General features: G+C 46.8%; 1 annotated feature.

The window, feature by feature from the left end:
• Positions 12,322 to 12,551: a silencer, noted in NCBI's record as "silent region_17209". NCBI's record gives its function as "represses an Ori minimal core promoter by ATAC-STARR-seq in GM12878 lymphoblastoid cells {active_cell/tissue: GM12878}" and the evidence as "EXISTENCE:reporter gene assay evidence [ECO:0000049][PMID:35858748]".

Genomic DNA, 17,803 nt, shown 5'->3' with positions numbered 1-17,803 from the left:
CGCGCCCGGCTACTTTTTTTGTTTTTGAGACAGGGTCTTGCTCTGTCACCCAGACTGGAGTGCAGTGGTACAGTCAAGGCTCACTGCAACCTCCACCTCCCTGGCTCAAGCGATCCTCCTGCCTCACCCCCAAATTAACCTCTCCAGTAGCTAAGACCACAGGCGTGCGCCACCACCTGGCTAATTTTTTGTATTTTTGTAGAGATGGGATTTTACCATGTTGCCCAGGTTGGTCTAGAACTCCTGAGCTCAAATGATCTGCCTGCCTTGACCTCCCAATGTGCTGGGATCAGACTTGAGCCACCACACCCAGTCCCCCAAATTTACATTTATTTCCTTAAAATTATTGTCTAAAGGCCTCTGTAATTTTTTTGTGGTTTGTTGTTCAACTATTAAAAAATTATTTTTTTCTAGCTGGGCGCGGTGGTTCACGCCTGTAATCCCAGCACTTTGGGAGGCCGAGGGGCGGGGGGTGGATCACGAGGTCAGGGGTTCAAGATCAGCCTGACTAACATGGTGAAACCCCGTCTGTACTAAAAAATACAAAAATTAGCCAGGCATGGTGGTGCGTGCCTGTAATCCCAGCTACTCAGGAGGCTGAGGCAGGAGAATCACTTGAACCCGTGAGGCAGAGGTTGCAGTGAGCCGAGATGGTGCCATTGCACTCCAGCCGGGGTGAAAGAGCGAGACTCTGGCTCAAAAAGAAAAAAAAAAAAGAGACAAGATCCTGTTATTTTACCTGGACTGGAGTGCAGTGTCTATTCACAGATGTGATTGTCAAACTCATGGCCTCAGACTACAGAGTAGCTGGGACTACAGGGGCATGCTTCCATACCTGGCCATCCTAACCATTTGTAAGCATACATTTCAGTGGCCATTCATACTGCTGTGCAACCATCACCATCATCCATCTCTAGAATTTATCTTGCAAAAATGAAACTCTGTACCGTGGCAACCACCATTCCCATTCTACTCTTTCTTTCTTTCTTTTTTTTTTTTTTTTTGAGATGGAGTCTCACTCTGTCGCCCAGGCTGGAGTGCAGTGGTGTGATCTCGGCTCACTGCAACCTCCACCTCCCAGGTTCAAGTGATTCTTGTGCCTCAGCCTCCCAAGTAGCAGGGATTATAGGCAACTGCCACCATGCCCGGCTAATTTTTGTATTTTTAGTAGAGACAGGGTTTCACCATGTTGGCCAGGCTGGTCTCAAACTCTGACCTCAAGTGATCTGCCCACCTCGGTCTCCCAAAGTGCTGGGATTACAGGCGTGAGCCACCGTGCCTGGCCACCAACATTCTACTTTCTATAAATGAATTTGACTACCTCATTCAAGTAGAATCATACAGTATTTGTTTTTTGTGACCGGTTCATTTCATTTAGCACATGTCAAGTTTCATCCATGTTGAACCACGTGTCAGAATTTTCTTCCTTTTTAAAGCTGAATAATATCTCATTGTATGTATAGAGCACATTCTGCTTATCCATTAATCTGTGGGTGGACACTGGGCTGCTTCCACATTTTAGCTATCACGAACATGACTTAATGATAGCTAAAGTGGTATTGACCTCAAAGGAAGAGGCTGAAGCACCAAATATCATTTAAAGAGTTTACTTGATGATGCCTGTAATCCCAGCACTTTGGGAGGCCGAGGAGGGAGGACTGCTTGAGGCCAGGAGTTCATAATGATATCCATTATGAACACAGATATCTCTTTGAGACTTTCCTTCTTTCTTTCTTTTTTTTTTTTTTTTTTTTTTGAGACGGAGTTTCGCTCTTGTTGCCCAGGCTAGAGTGCAATGGCACGATCTTGGCTCACCACAACCTCCGCCTCCCGGGTTCAAGAGATTCTCCTGCCTCAGCCTCCCAAGTAGCTGGGATTACAGTCACCGCCACCATGCCCAGCTAATTTCGTATTTTTAGTAGAGATGGGGTTTCTCCATGTTGGTCAGGCTGGTCTTGAACCCCCGACCTCAGGTGATCCGCCCGCCTCGGCCTCCCAAAGTGCTGGGATTACAGGCGTGAGGCACCGCGCCTGGCCTTGAAACTTCTTTAGTCTGGTGCCAGCCTCACTCGATTTCCGTCTGGATGGCTATTTTAATAATCCTGTGGATGGCGCTCTCCTGACGGTCCTGAGGGAACACTCTGCCTCCAGGGCTGCGCTCCCGGCCCTTGCTTTCCCAGGGCTGCCTGGAGGCCGCGGTCCCCGCGCGTTCCCAGGCACAGCCCGCGCCCAGGTGCGCGCCGTCGCGGTGGGTTCCCCCCCGGGAGGGGGAGGGAGCGGGGCAGGTGTCCCTAACGACTCTCCCACCCTCCAGCCCAGGGAGGAGCTGGCTCGGGCTCGGTTACCACATTACAGATGGGGAAAGAGCTCTCCTGCCTCTTTCAGATTGCAGGATCTTCCCAAGAACCGGAAGGAGGAAGACCCCCTCCACCCCCGCCCCCGAGCCAGCCGCCTCTATCTGCAGTAGCTGACCCTTCCGCCTGTCCGCTCCGGCTCCCGCGGGGCTCAGGCGTCCCTGGCCACCGCAGCCTGGAAGCGTTCCTTGCCTGCTCCTCACATTGGTCTCCTCTTGCTGAGATCCCCGAGTCTCCCTCGGACCCCATAGTCTTGCTGGCCCTGAAGACGCCTTGCCCTGGGCGGACGGCCTTTTAACTGGACTTGGGCGAACCTATCATTCGCTGGCCAGGACTCGTTCCCAGATATCTAATTTAATCCTCACAACCATCCCACCAGGTGTTACCGGCTAAGGAAACGGGCCCAGAAAAACTAAGTTGAAACGGCGAAGATACCCTAGCAGGCCAGTGGTGGAGCCAGCTGGAGGCGGCAGTTCAGCAGAGGGATGTGTTTACAGGGCTGTCTCTTCCAAAGCTCATTCACAAGGCTGCCGGGGCAGAGAAATGAAATAGGGGCGCCCATCTGCGTGCCTGGGGCATGGCAGGTGCTCACGCTAATTGATACCTCCCCTCCATTTTTTCTTATGTACCGGTGGAAAACCGAGGGCCCATGGAAAGCTGAGACGAGCCACGTAGGATGTGAAAAATAAAATTAAGAAAAAGTAGGCCGGGCGTGGTGGCTTACGCCTGTAATCCCAGCACTTTGGGAGGCCAAGGCGGGCGGATCACCTGAGGTTAGGAGTTCGAGACCAGCCTGGCCAACATGGAGAAACCCCGTCTCTACTAAAAATACAAAATTAGCCGAGTGTGGTGGCACGCGCCAGTAGTCCCAGCTACTTGGGAGGCTGAGGCAGGAGAATCGCTTGAACCCAGGAGGTGGAGGTTGCAGTGAGCCGAGATCACGCATTGCACTCCAGCCTGGGCAACAAGAGCGAAACTCTGTCTCAAAAAAAAAAAAAAAAAAAAAAAAAGTCCCCTTCAGGAATGCTGACAGGGGCACACCTATTTAATTTATCAAATGAAAAGCTACAGTGTTATTTATAACAAAAAAAATCACCTAAATGTTCAATGATAAGGAAATAGCTAAATAAAATATGGTGGATATGCACGATGAAATAGTATACAAGCCTAAAATGTTCATTCATTCTTTCATTCAGAACCATTTATTGGTCTCTGCCTTTTTTTTTTTTTTTTTTTTTTTTTTGAGACAGAGTCTCGGTCTGTCACCCAGGCTGGAGTGCAGTGGCACAATCTCGGCTCACTGCAACCTCCACCTCCCGGGTTCAAGCGATTCTCCTGCCTCAGGCTCCTGAGTAGCTGGGATTACAGGCGCCCACCACCACACCCGGCTAATTTTTGTATTTTTAGTAGAGACAGGGTTTCACCATGTTGGTCAGGCTGGTCTCGAACTCCTGACCACGTGATCCGCCCACCTCGACCTCCCAAAGTGCTGGGATTACAGGTGTTAGGCACCAGGCCCGACCTATTGGTCTCTGCTTTATGCCAGGAATTGGGGCTGGGGATAATCAGACAAAAAGAGATGCTCTCAGCAGTCAAGAGGGAAGAGACAGGTAGGGGACCTGGAGTGTTAACAGATACTGTGCCTAAGCAACACACTACACGCACGCACACACACACACACACACACACGCCCACACACCCAAGCATAAGTGCAGAGTTAGAGGGCGGGGTCCTGGGGGAGGGGCTCTTTCTTGTAGAGTGGGTGGGAATCAGAACAAGTGCTTTAGAAGTTTATACTTGGGGGCCGGGCGCGGTGGCTTACGTCTGTAATCCTAGCACTTTGGGAGGTGGGCTGATCACAAGGTCAGGAGATCGAGACCATCCTGGCTAAAACGGTGAAACGCCATTTCTACTAAAAATATAAAAAATTAGCCGGGCGTGGTGGCACACACCTACCCAGCTACTCAGGAGGCTGAGGCAGGAGAATCGCTTGACCCCACGAGGCGGAGGTTGCAGTAAGCCGAGCTCACACCACTGCACTCCAGCCTGGGCGACAGAACGAGACTCTGTCCCCCCCCAAAAAATTTATACTTGAGGCTTGACGCAGTGGCTAATGCCTGTAATCCCAGCACTTTGGACTTTGGGAGGTTAAGGTGGGAGGTGAGGCGGGTGCGGTGGCTCACACCTGTAATCCCAGCACTTTGGGAGGCCGAGGCGGGCGGATCACAAGGTCAGGAGATCGGGACCATGGTGAAACCCTGTCTCTACTAAAAATCCAAAAAAAATTAGCTGGGCACGGTGGCGGGCGCCTGTAGTCCCAGCTACTCAGGAGGCTGAGGCAGGAGAATGGCGTGAACCCGGGAGGCGAAGCTTGCAGTGAGCCGAGATCGCGCCACTGCACTCCAGCCTGGGCGACAGAGAGAGACTCCGTCTCAAAAAAAAAAAAAAAAAGGTGGGAGGTGAAGGATTGGTTGAACTCAAGACTTCCAGACCAGCTTGGGCAACATAGCAAGACCTCTCTCTACAAAAAAATTCTTCTAGTGGTTATAGACGTTAGATGTAATAGTGAGGAGGCCTCTGCCACCCCTCCCTCTTGGTGGTATATATGACTGTGGTTTTGATTTAAAAAATATACTGCATCGGCCGGTCATGGTGGCTCACACCTGTAATCCCAGCACTTTGGGAGGCCGAGGTGGGCAGATCACAAAGTCAGGAGTTCGAGACCAGCCTGGCCAATATGGTGAAACCCTGTCTCTACTAAAAATACAAAAAAAATATATAAATAATTAGCTGGGCGTGGTGGCGGGGTGCCTGTAGTCCCAGCTACTCGGGAGGCTGAGGCAGGAGAATCGCTTGAATCCGGGAGGCGGAGGTCACATTGAGCTGAGATAGCGCCACTGCACTCCAGCCTGGGCGACAGAGCAAGACTCCATCTCAAAAACAAAAAACAAAACACCCTGCATCCTGTAGGGTAGCACCCTACCCTGCCAGAGGTAGTGTCCCAGCTGTGCTCTAATAGAGGCCAATCTACCATTCTATCCAGCCAGCTGCTTCTGGTCCATGGGGTACATGGTAAGGCCAGTGAATTCATTGAGTGTGAGCTCATTTGTACATTTCCTTGGCTGTAACATGTATTGCCCTGGTTGGAGGCTATATTATGTTGAATGCCATGCTGATGGATATGGCATTCAGTAAGTCCATGAGTGGTGGTGCTGATGGAAGCACTGTAGGTAGAGACAGCAAATTCATACATGAAATATGTGCCTATCCTCATGAAGATAAAATACAGCCCCTTCGTGATGGGAGGACCCAGTCAAACCAATCTACAATGAGGTGAGAATGATGCCCAATCAGGGACTCAGCACTAGGCTGTGAGGAGGTCGACGCTCAGCACTGGCCACAGCCAGATCAGCCTCAGAGAGGAGAAGACTCTGTTACTGAGCCCAGACATAGCTTCCATCCCTGTCACCATGGCCACTTTATATCTTTGCACAAGCCCTGGGGGCAGCTGGGAAAGCAGCTGACCATCGTCCACAGGACTGTCATCTTGTCCACCTGGTGATGATTTAGTCCCTTTGCCTTGTTGTGGGCTATTATATCCACCTTGCCTTTGTTAAGTAAGCATCACCATTTGGCCTTTGTACCACCAAGATGCTATTATTCTCATTGAGATCAGGGAATCCAGTTCCACTGATCCATCCAGCACACCCCACTAGCTCTCTAGTCAAGACAGGACAGTCATCAGAGCAAGTCAAGGATGCTGGTGGCCCTCACGAACGCATTTCTTAATGCTTTCATAAAGGGAGTGTTTTCCAGACCCTCCTAAAATATGTGGCAGCAGTGGCTAAGAAGGTGCGCATCATAGATCCAGTCCAGCATTCCCGTCTCCCGGGGACTTCTGATTCCTTCTTCTACAGAATGCCAGGGAAGTTCTGGCATTTCATGCTTATTAACTGTAGGCTACTACTTAATCCAGACTTTAATTAGCCAATCTAGCCAACTATTAATTCTCCTCCCAGGTGCTCAGGCCAACACAGTAAATCCCAAATCCTGGATAAGGATCCACGGCAACGAGTTTGGACAAACCAAGGCTTCCATCCCCCCACCTTGGTCTAGCTCCCTCAGCACACACTCCCACACATGCTCCTGCAGCTTCTGCCAAGACAAGCTGGCCAGGCCTGTAACTCAGCCCGGCGTCCCCCTCTCAGCGTGACCTTGTGCTTCTCCATGGGCTGTGCTGGGACCTAACTCATGAAGGGCCTGGGGCCCAAGAGGGATGGGGGCAGGGAGGGTTCTGAGGCTGATGTTTTGGGAGGAGGGAGCAGTATTAGAGGAGCTTATCTCTACAGACATGAGAATTTCAAGGGAATTTGGGGTTTCAAAGTTCTCAGTCTTATTCATGTCTGCCTAAATGTCTCCATCTCATCTCAGGCTCCCAGACCTTTCCCAGCAATGCCCTTACTTTAGCATAAGAGACTTGGAGGGCTAAGCATTTACTTAGCACTGAATCTCGGCAACCTTTACAATGACATCCCGGTCCTGTCCTTAGTCACATGTGCCTGTGCCTGGAGGAGATGAGGGGCTCCTTCAAGTTGCCATCAAGGGATTCTTTTTTTGTTTTGTTTTTGAGAGGGATTCTCGCTTTGTCACCCAGGCTGGAGTGCAGTGGCGCCATCTCGGCTCACCTCAAACTCTGCCTACCAGGTTCAAGTGATTCTCCTGCCTCAGCCTCCCGAGTAGCTAGGATTAGAGGTGCCCGCCACCACGCCTGGATAATTTTGTGTTTTTAGTAGAGACAGAGTTTCACCATGCTGGCCAGGATGGTCTCGAACTCCTGACATCAGATGATCCACCTGCCTCAGCCTCCCAAAGTGCTGGGATTACAGGCGTGAGCCACCATGCCACCTAATTTCTGTATTTTTAGTTGAGATGGGGTTTTACCATGTTGGCCAGCCTGGTCTCGAACTCCTGACTTCATGTTATCCGCTTGCCTTGGCCTCCCAAAGTGCTAGGATTACAGGCATGAGTCACCACACCTGGCCGTGTCTGTCTATCTATCTATTTATCTCTATCTATCTATCATCTTTCTAGCTATATCTGTTGAGACAGGGTCTCACTCCCATTGCTCAGTCTGGAGTGCAGTGGCACGATCTCGGCACACTGCAGCCTTGACCTTCCAGGCTAAATTGATCCTCCCACCTCAGCCTCTCACGTAGCTGAGACTACAGGTGTGCACCACCTTGCCTAGCTAATTTTTTGTATTTTTAGTAGAGATGGGGTTTTGCTATGTTGCCCAGGCTGGTCTCAAACTCCTGGTTGCAAGTGATCTGCCTGCCTTGACCTTCCAAAGTTCTGGGATTATAGGCATGAGCCACTGCGCCTGGCCGAGAAATATCTTAAATAACCGATGAAAGATGTCTGACGAATTATAAATGAGCTTAGGGATGTTTGGAACCTATCTCTAGACCTAGAGGTTGATACCTGGCCTTGCTACCCCCTGCTGAAATAACCTCTTGGCCTCTGGTGCCCTGGCTGACTCAAGGAGAGGCTCTAGATTTACCTGGATGGGAAATACCATTGCCTCTGTCTGTTTATTCAATTTTCCTTATTTTCTCTCCCTGCCTTCTGCATGCATATCTGTGGCAGTGCATGAGCTTAGATGGCTGCCCACAGGGCAGGGGCCTCTGAGCCCCATCAAGGGGAGGCAGCCTGGTTTAATGGAAGAGCATTGGGTCAGGAGTCAGGAGGCCTCGGTTCCAAACCCAGCTGTTACTTCCTTTCATGGACTTGGTTAGCTATCTAAGAGGGTTTGGACTCAGTGATGTTTGAGGTCCTTCTTGTCAATCCCTAATTCCTAACTTGTCCTGATCATTTTATGGGGTTGTGCTGTGGACAAAATGAAAGAATGTGAGAGAAGATTTAAGAATGACACTGAGATGATCCCCCACTTCCCAACCACATGCACATCACTCTCCCTAATTCCGAGGACATTTGACTTTTACTGTGGCTGGGAGAACACCCAAGTCCGTTTTGACATCATAGGCATGCTTTCATCTTGCACTTGGCTGGCAGGAAAGGAGGCAATGGTATAGCAAGAAACCAGAGCCTCCCAGCAAGGATCTTGGGAGTAGAACCAGGGCCAAGGACATCTGGGAAAGAAAGTGAACCTGGTGAGTTAGGAAGAAATCCTTAGGGGAAGAACTGAAGGAGTCTGCCCGGGGAATTGACCCAGGCCACAGACGTGATAAGTTCTTCCATCGCGTAGTATTCTGTTAACTACCAACTGGCGTACTGCGGTTCAATTCTGGCACTCACCATCCAGAGCTAGTGCAGACCCCGCAAGTTAAAATGCACAATCCCCAAGAAAACTGCCTTTACTTCAGAGGTCAGCTGCAAGGTCAGGGGGATTCTCAGGTCACCCACACTTCTGACTGACTGGCTACAAATTTGGGGGTTTCTCATGATCCCCCTCAGATTCAATAAGTCACTACAACAACTCACAGAACTCAGGAAAGTGCTATTCTTATGATTACAGTTTTATTATGGAGGATAGAAATCAGCACAACCAGCCAGGGAGACATGCAGGGCAAGTGTGAGAGGGTTCTGAATGCAGAGATACCATGCCCTCTCCCTGCGGAATCAGGCAGGTTATGTCGCCCTCTGCCCTCTGACACTCCATATGTTCATCAACCAGGGCACTCCAGAGTTCTGTATCCAGAAGTTTTTTTGTTGTTGCTTGTATTTTTTTTTTTTTTTGAGACAGAGTCTCTATCTGTCACCCAGGCTGGAGTGGCACGATCTTGGCTCACTGCAACCTCCACCTCCCAGGTTCAAGCGATTATCCTGCCTCAGCCTCCCAAGTAGCTGGGATTACAGGTGTGTGCCACCGCAACCAGCTAATTTTTGTATTTTTAATAGAGACGGGGTTTCACATTGGCCAGGATGGTCTTGATCTCTTGACCTCATGATCCGCCTGCTTCGGCCTCCCGAAGTGTTGAGATGACAGGCGTGAGCCACCATGCCCAGCCTGTTTGTTTGTTTTTGAGACAGGGTCTGGCTGTGTTGTCCAGGCTGGAGCACAGTGGCATGATACGGCTCACTGTAGCTTTTATCTCTCAGGCTCAAGTGATCCTCCCACCTCAGCCTCCCATGTAGCTGGGACTGCGGGTGCATGTCACCACACCCGGCTAATTTTATTCTTTTTTGTAGAAACGGGATTTTGCTCTCTGGTTCAGGTTGGAGACTCAAGCTCCTGGGCTCAAGCAATCCTCCTGCCTTGGCCTCCCCAAAGTGCTGGCAGTACAGGCCTGAGGTACCACTCCCAGCCTGCATTCAGAGTTTTTTCTTTCTTTTTTTTTTTTTTATCAGAGTTCCATTACATAGGCATAGTTGATTAAATCACTGGCTGGAGATTCAGTTCCATTTCCCCTCCCTGAACCTCAAGTGGATTGAATCCCCAATCTCTAATCACAGAGTTGGTCTTTCTGATATGGTCAGCTCCTATCCTGAAACTGCTTATGGCCCACCATGAGTCACCGAATTAGCATAAACTATCTGGGCCATAAATATCACTCTTAGTACTTGAGAAATTCTAAGGATTGAGTCTCCCTCCCAAGCACCAGGGACAAAGGCCAAATTCTATTTTTTTTTTTTTTTTTTTTTTTTTTGAGATGGAGTCTCACTCTATCGCCCAGGCTGGAGTGCAGTGGTGCAATCTCCACTCACTGCAAGCTCCACTCCCAGGTTCACGCCATTCTCCTGCCTCAGCCTGTCGAGTAGCTGGGACTACAGGCGCCCGCCACCACGCCTGGCTAATTTTTTTGTATTTTTAGTAGAGACAGGGTTTCACCGTGTTAGCTAGGATGGTCTCGATCTCCTGATCTCAGGTGATCCACCCGCCTCGGCCTCCCAAAGTGCTGGGATTACAGGCGTGAGCCACCGTGCCCGGCCAATTTTTGTATTTTTAGTGGAAATGGAGTTTCTCCATGTTGGTCAGCCTGGTCTCGAACTCCTGATCTCAGGTGATCTGCCCGCCTCAGCCTCCCAAAGTGCTAGGATTACAGGCGTGAGCCACCATACCCAGCCTACGCCAAACTTGTAGGGAAAAGAGAGAGAGATCAGACTGTTACTGGGTCTACATAGAAAAGGAAGACATAAGAAAGTCCATTTTGATCTGTACCCTGAACAATTGTTTTGCCTGGAGATGCTGTTAATCTGTAACTTTAGCCCCAACCTTGTGCTCACAGAAATATGTGTTGTATGGAATCAAGGTTTAAGGGATCTAGGGCTGTGCAGGATGTGCCTTGTTAACAAAACGTTTACAGGCAGTATGCTTGATAAAAGTCATCGCCATTCTCCATTCTCGATTAACCAGGGGCACAATGCACTGCAGAAAGCCACAGGGACCCCTGCCCAGGAAAGCCAGTATTGTCCAAGGTTTCTCCCCACTGAGACAGCCTGAGGTATGGCCTCGTGGGACGGGAAAGACCTGACCATCCCCCAGCCCAACACCCGTGAAGGGTCTGTGCTGAGGAGGATTAGTAAAAGAGGAAGGCCTCTTGCAGTTGAAATAAGAGGAAGGCCTCTGTCTCCTGCATGCCCCTGGGAACGGAATGTCTCAGTATAAAACCCGATTGTACATTCGTTCTATTCTGAGATAGGAGAAAACCGCCCTGTGGCTGGAGGTGAGATATGCTGGTGGCAATACTGCTCTGTTATTCTTTACTACACTGAGATGTTTGGGTGGAGAGAAGCATGAGTCTGGCCTATGTGCACATCCAGGCATAGTACCTTCCCTTGAACTTATTTGTGACACAGATTCCTTTGCTCACATGTTTTCTTGCCAACCTTCTCCCCGCTATCACCCTGTTCTGCCACATTCCCCTTGCTGAGATAGTGAAAATAATAATCAGTAAATACTGAGGGAACTCAGAGACGGGGGCCGGTGCAGGTCCTCTGTATGCTGAGCGCCAGTCTCCTGGGCCCCACTGTTCTTTCTCTATACTTTGTCTCTGTGTCTTATTTCTTTTTTTAGTCTCTCGTCCCACCTGACGAGAGATACCCACAGGTGTGGAGGGGCAGGCCACCCCTTCATCTGCCGCCAATGTGGGTGCCTTTCTCTAAGGTGAAGGTACATTAAGAACGTGAGCATTGAGGACAGTCGACGAGAGATTCCCGAGTACGTCCACCGTCAGCCTTGCGGTAAGCTTGTGTGCTCGGAGGAACCCAGGGTAACAATGGGACAAACTGAAAGTAAATATGCCTCTTATCTCAGCTTCATTAAAATTCTTTTAAGAAGAGGGGGAGTTAGGGCTTCTACAGAAAATCTAATTACGCTATTTCAAACAATAGAACAATTTTGCCCCTGGTTTCCAGAACAGAGAACTTTAGATCTAAAAGATTGGGAAAAAAATTGGCAAAGAATTAAAACAAGCAAATAGGGAAGGTAAAATCATCCTACTTACAGTATGGAATGATTGGGCCATTATTAAAGCAACTTTAGAACCGTTTCAAACAGAAGAAGATAGCATTTCTGCTGCCCCTGAAAGCTGTGTAATAGATTGTGAAGAAGAGGCAGAGACAGAGTTTAGGAAAGGAATGGAAAGTTCACATTGTAAATATGTAGCAGAGTCTGTAATGGCTTGGTCAACGCAAAATGTTGACTACAATCAATTAAAGGAGGTAATATATCATGAATAATCAAAATTGGGGGAAGGAGGTCCAGAATTATTGGGGCCATCAGAGCCTAAACCACGATGGCCATCAACTCCTCCCGTGGTTCAGATACCTGTAACATTACAACCTCAAAGGGAGGTTAGACAAGTACAAACCCCAAGAGAATATCAAGTAGAAAAGGATAGAGTCTCTATCCCGGCAATGCCAATTCAGATGCAGTATCCACAATATAAGCTGGTAGAAAATAAGACCCAACCACCAGTAATTTATCAGTACTGGCCGCCAGCCGACCTTCAGTATCGGCCACCTCCAGAGGTTAAATACAGACCTCAAGTGGTGTGTCCTGTGCCAAATAGCACGGCACCATACCAGCAACCCACGGCAGTGGTGTTTAATCCTACCGCACCACCTAGTGGACAAGGTAGTACACTGCATGAAATTATTGATAAAGCCAGTAAACAGGGAGATCTTGAGGCATGGGAGTTCCCGGTAATTTTACAACCGATACCGGCCGGGAAAGGGACTCTAGCAGGAGCGTCTGTCCAAACTGAAGCTAGATATGAATCTTTCACCATGAAAATGTTAAAAGATATGAAGGAAGGAGTTAATATGGACCCAACTCCCCTTATGTGAGAACATTATTAGATTCCATTGTTCATGGAAATAGACTTATTCCTTATGACTGGGAAATTTTGGCTAAATCTTCCCTTTCACCCTCTCAGTTTCTACAGTTTAAACCGTGGTGGATCGATGGAGTACAAGAACAGGTACGAAAAAATCAGGTTACTAACCCCACTGTTAATATAGATGCAGACCAATTGCTAGGAACAGGTCCAAATTGGAGCACCATTAACCAACAATCAGTAATGCAGAACACCTGTTGAACACCTAAGGGCTATTGAACACCTAAGGGCTATTTGCCTCAGGGCCTGGGAAAAAATTCAGGACCTGGGAACCACCTGCCCTTCTTTTAATTCAATTAGACAAGTCTCTAAAGAGCCATATCCAGACTTTGTGGCAAGGTTGCAAGATGCTGCTCAAAAATCTGTTACAGATGATAACGCCCGAAAAGATATTGTAGAATTAATGGCCTATCAAAATGCAAATCCAGAATGTCAATCGGCCATAAAGCCATTAAAAAGAAAAGTTCCAGCAGGAGTTGATGTAATTACAGAATAAGTGAAGGCTTATGATGGGATTGGAGGAGCTATGTATAAAGGCAATGCTAATGGCTGAAGCAATAGCGGGAGTCGCTTTAGGAGGACAAGTTAGAACATTTGGGAAAAAATGTTATAATTGTGGTCAAATCGGTCATCCGAAAAGGAGTTGCCCAGTCTTAAGTAAACAGAATATAATAAATCAAGCTGGCCGGGCACGGTGGCTCACACCCGTAATCCCAGCACTTTGGGAGGCCGAGGCTGGTAGATCACAAGGTCAGGAGGTCGAGACTATCCTGGCTAACATGGTGAAACCCCATCTCTACTAAAAATACAAAAAATTAGCCAGGCGTGGTGGCGGGTGCCTATAGTCCCAGCTACTCGGGAGGCTGAGGCAGGAGAATGGCATGAACCCAGGAGGCAGAGCTTGCAGTGAGCCGAGATCGCACCACTGCACTCCAGCCTGGGCAACAGAGCCAGACTCCGTCTCAAAAAAAAGAAAAATATAAATATAAATAAATCAAGCTATAACGGCAAAAAATAAAGAGCCACCTGGCCTGTGTCCAAAATGTGGAAAAGGAAAACATTGGGCTAATCAATGTCATTCTAAATTTGATAAAGATGGGCAACCATTGTTGGGGAAATGGGAAGAGGGGCCAGCCTCAGGCCCCGCAACAAATTGGGGCATTCCGATTCAGCCGTTTGTTCCTCAGGGTTTTCAGGGACAAAAACTCCCGCAGGAAATACCACCACTTCAGGGAGTCAGCCAATTACAACAATACAACAGCTGTCCCCTGCCACAGCAGGCAGCGCAGCAGTAGATTTGTGTTCTACTCAAATGGTTTCTTTACTCCCTGGAGAGCCCCCGCAAAAGATTCCTACAGGGGTATATGGCCCGCTGCCAGAAGGGACGGTAGGCCTTATTTTAGGGAGATCAAGTCTAAATTTGAAGGGAGTCCAAATTCATACTGGTGTAATTGATTCAGATTATAAAGGGGAAATTCAGTTAGTGATCAGCTCCACTGTTCCCTGGAGTGCCAATCCAGGTGATAGAATTGCACAATTACTGCTTTTGCCTTGTATTAAAATTGGGAAAAACAAAACGGAAAGAACAGGAGGGTTTGGAAGTACCAACCCTGCCGGAAAAGCCGCTTATTGGGCTAGTCAGGTCTCAGAGGATAGACCCGTGTGTGCAGTCACTATTCAGGGAAAGCAGTTTGAAGGATTAGTGGATACTGGGTGATGGTGCTATCATTGCCTTAAATCAATGGCCCCAAAATTGGCCTAAACAAAAGCCTGTTACAGGACTTGTCGGCGTAGGCACTGCCTCAGAAGTGTATCAAAGTGCCATGAGTTTACATTGTCTAGGACCTGATGATCAAGAAAGTACAGTTCAGCCTATGATCACTTCTATTCCAATTAATTTATGGGGCCGAGACTTGTTACAACAATGGCATGCAGCGATTACTATCCCAGCCCCCAATACAGCCCCACGAGTCAAAAAATCATAACTAAAATGGGATATCTCCCTGAAAAGGGACTAGGAAAGAATGAAGACAGCATTAAAGTCCCAATTGAGGCTGAAAAAACTCAAAAAAGAAAAGGAATAGGGTATCCTTTTTAAGAGCGGCCACTGTAGAGCCTCCAAAACCCATTCCATTAACTTGGAAAACAAAAAAACCTGTATGGGTGAATCAGTGGCTGCTACCAAAACAAAAGCTGGAGGCTTTACACTTATTAGCAAAGGAACAATTAGAAAAGGGACATATTGAGCCTTCATTTTCGCCTTGGAATTCTCCTGTGTTTGTAATTCAGAAAAAATCCGGCAGATGGCGCGTGCTGACCGACTTAAGAGCCGTTAATGCTGTAATTCAACCCATGGGGGCTCTCCAACCTGGGTTGCTCTCTCCGGTCATGATCCCCAAAGATCGGCCTTTAGTTATAATTGATCTGAAGGATTGCTTTTTTACCGTTCCTCTGGCAAAACAGGATTTTGAAAAATTTGCTTTTACTATACCAGCCATAAATAATAAAGAACCAGCCACCAGGTTTCAGTGGAAAGTGTTGCCTCAGGGAATGCTTAATGGTCCAACTATTTGCCAGACTTTTGTAGCTCAAGCTCTTCAACCAATTAGAGACAGTTTTCAGACTCTTATATCATTCATTATGTTGATGATATTTTGTGTGCTACAGAAAGGAGAGACAAATTAATTGACTGTTACACATTTCTGCAGACAGAGGTTGCAAACGCAGGACTGACGACAGCATCTGATAAGATTCAAACCTCTACTCCTTTCCATTACTTGGAAATGCAGGTGGAGGAAACGAAAATTAAACCATAAAAAATAGAAATAAGAAAAGACACATTAAAAACATTAAATGACTTTCAAAAATTGCTAGGAGATATTAATTGGATTCAGCCAACTCTAGGCATCTCTACTTATGCCATGTCAAATTTGTTCTCTATCTTAAGAGGGGATCCAGAATTGAATAGTAAAAGAACATTAACTCCAGAAGCAACTAAAGAAATTGAATTAGTTGAAGAAAAAATTCGGTCAGCACAAGTAAATAGAATAGATCACTTAGCCCCACTCCAACTTTTGATTTTTGCTACTGCACATTCTCCAACAGGCATTATTGCTCAAAATACAGATCTTGTGGAGTGGTTCTTCCTTCCTCATAGTACAATTAAGACTTTTACATTGTACTTGGATCAAATGGCTACATTAATTGGTCAGGCAAGATTACGAATAATAAAATTGTGTGAAAGTGACTCAGATAAAATCATTGTTCCTTTAAACAAGGAACAGGTTAGACAAGCCTTTATCAATTCTGGTGCATGGCAGATTGGTCTTGCTGATTTTGTGGGAATTATTGACAATCATTACCCAAAAACAAAAATCTTCCAGTTTTTAAAATTGACTACTTGGATTTTACCTAAAATTACTAGACATAAACCTTTAGAAAATGCTCTGACAGTGTTTACTGATGGTTCCAGCAATGGAAAAGCGGCTTACACCAGGCCAAAAGAACGACTCATTGAAACTCAATATCACTGGGCTCAAAGAGCAGAGTTGGTTGCTGTCATTACAGTGTTACAAGATTTTAATCAGCCTATTAACATTGTATCAGATTCTGCATATGTAGTACAGGCTACAAAGGATGTTGAGACAGCCCTAATCAAATATAGTATAGATGATCAGTTAAACCAGCTGTTTAATATGTTACAACAAACTGTAAGAAAAAGAAATTTCCCATTTTATGTTACTCATATTCGAGCACATACTAATTTACCAGAGCCTTTAACTAAAGCAAATGAACAAGTTGACTTGCTAGTATCATCTGCATTCCTGGAAGCACAAGAACTTCATGCCTTGACTCATGTAAATGCAACAGGACTAAAAAATAAATTTGACATCACATGGAAACAGGCAAAAAATATTGTACAACATTACACCCAGTGTCAGATTCCACACCTGCCCACTCAGGAGGCAGGAGTTAATCCCAGAGGTCTGTGTCCTAATGCGTTATGGCAAATGGATGTCACACATGTACCTTCAGTTGGAAAATTGTCATTTCTCCATGTGACAGTTGATGCTTATTCACATTTTGTAAGGGCAAACTGCCAGACAGGAGAAAATACTTCCCATGTTAAAAGACATTTATTATCTTGTTTTGCTGTCATGGGAGTTCCAGAAAAAATTAAAACGGATAATGGGCCAGGATACTGTAGTAAAACATTTCAAAAATTCTTAAATCAGTGGAAAATTACACATACAACAGGAATCCCTTATAATTCCCAAGGACAGGCCATAATTGAAAAAACTGATAGAACACTCAAAGCTCAATTGGTTAAACAAAAAAAGGAAAAAAGACAGTAAGGAGTATAACACTCCCCAGATGCAACTTAATCTAGCACTCTATACTTTAAATTTTTTAAACATTTATAGAAATCAAACCACTACTTCTGCAGAACAACATTTTACTGGTAAAAAGAATAGCCCACATGAAGGAAAACTGATTTGGTGGAAAGACAAGAAAAATAAGACATGGGAAATAGGGAAGGTGATAACATGGGAGAGAGGCTTTGCTTGTGTTTCACAAGGAGAAAATCAGCTTCCTGGTTGGATACCCACTAGAAATTTAAAGTTCTACAATGAACCCCTTGGAGATGCGAAGAAAAGCGCCTCTGCGGAGACAAAAAACCCTCAATTGAGCATCATCGACTCGCCAGGTAAATAAAATGGTGATATCAGAAGAACAGATGAAGTTGCCATCCACCAAGGAAGCGGAGCCACCGACTTGGGCCCAATTAAAGAAGCTGACACAGTTAGCTAAAAAAAGCCTAAAGAACACAAGGGTAATGTGAACTCCAGAGAATATACTGCTTACAGCTTTGATTATTATATCAACGGTAGTAAGTCTCCCCATGTCTGCAGGAGCAGCTGCAACTAATTATACTTACTGTGCCTATGTGCCTTTCCCACCCTTAATTTGGGCAGTCACATGGATGGATAATCCTGTTGAAGTATATGTTAATAATAGGGCATGGGTACCAGGCCCCACAGACGATTGTTGCCCTGCCCAACCTAAAGAAGAAGGAATGATGATAAATGT

This window comes from Homo sapiens, chromosome 6 (genome assembly GCF_000001405.40).
Source record: "Homo sapiens chromosome 6, GRCh38.p14 Primary Assembly".
Taxonomy (NCBI): Eukaryota; Metazoa; Chordata; class Mammalia; order Primates; family Hominidae; genus Homo; species Homo sapiens.
This window is presented reverse-complemented; position numbering and strand designations above follow the sequence as displayed.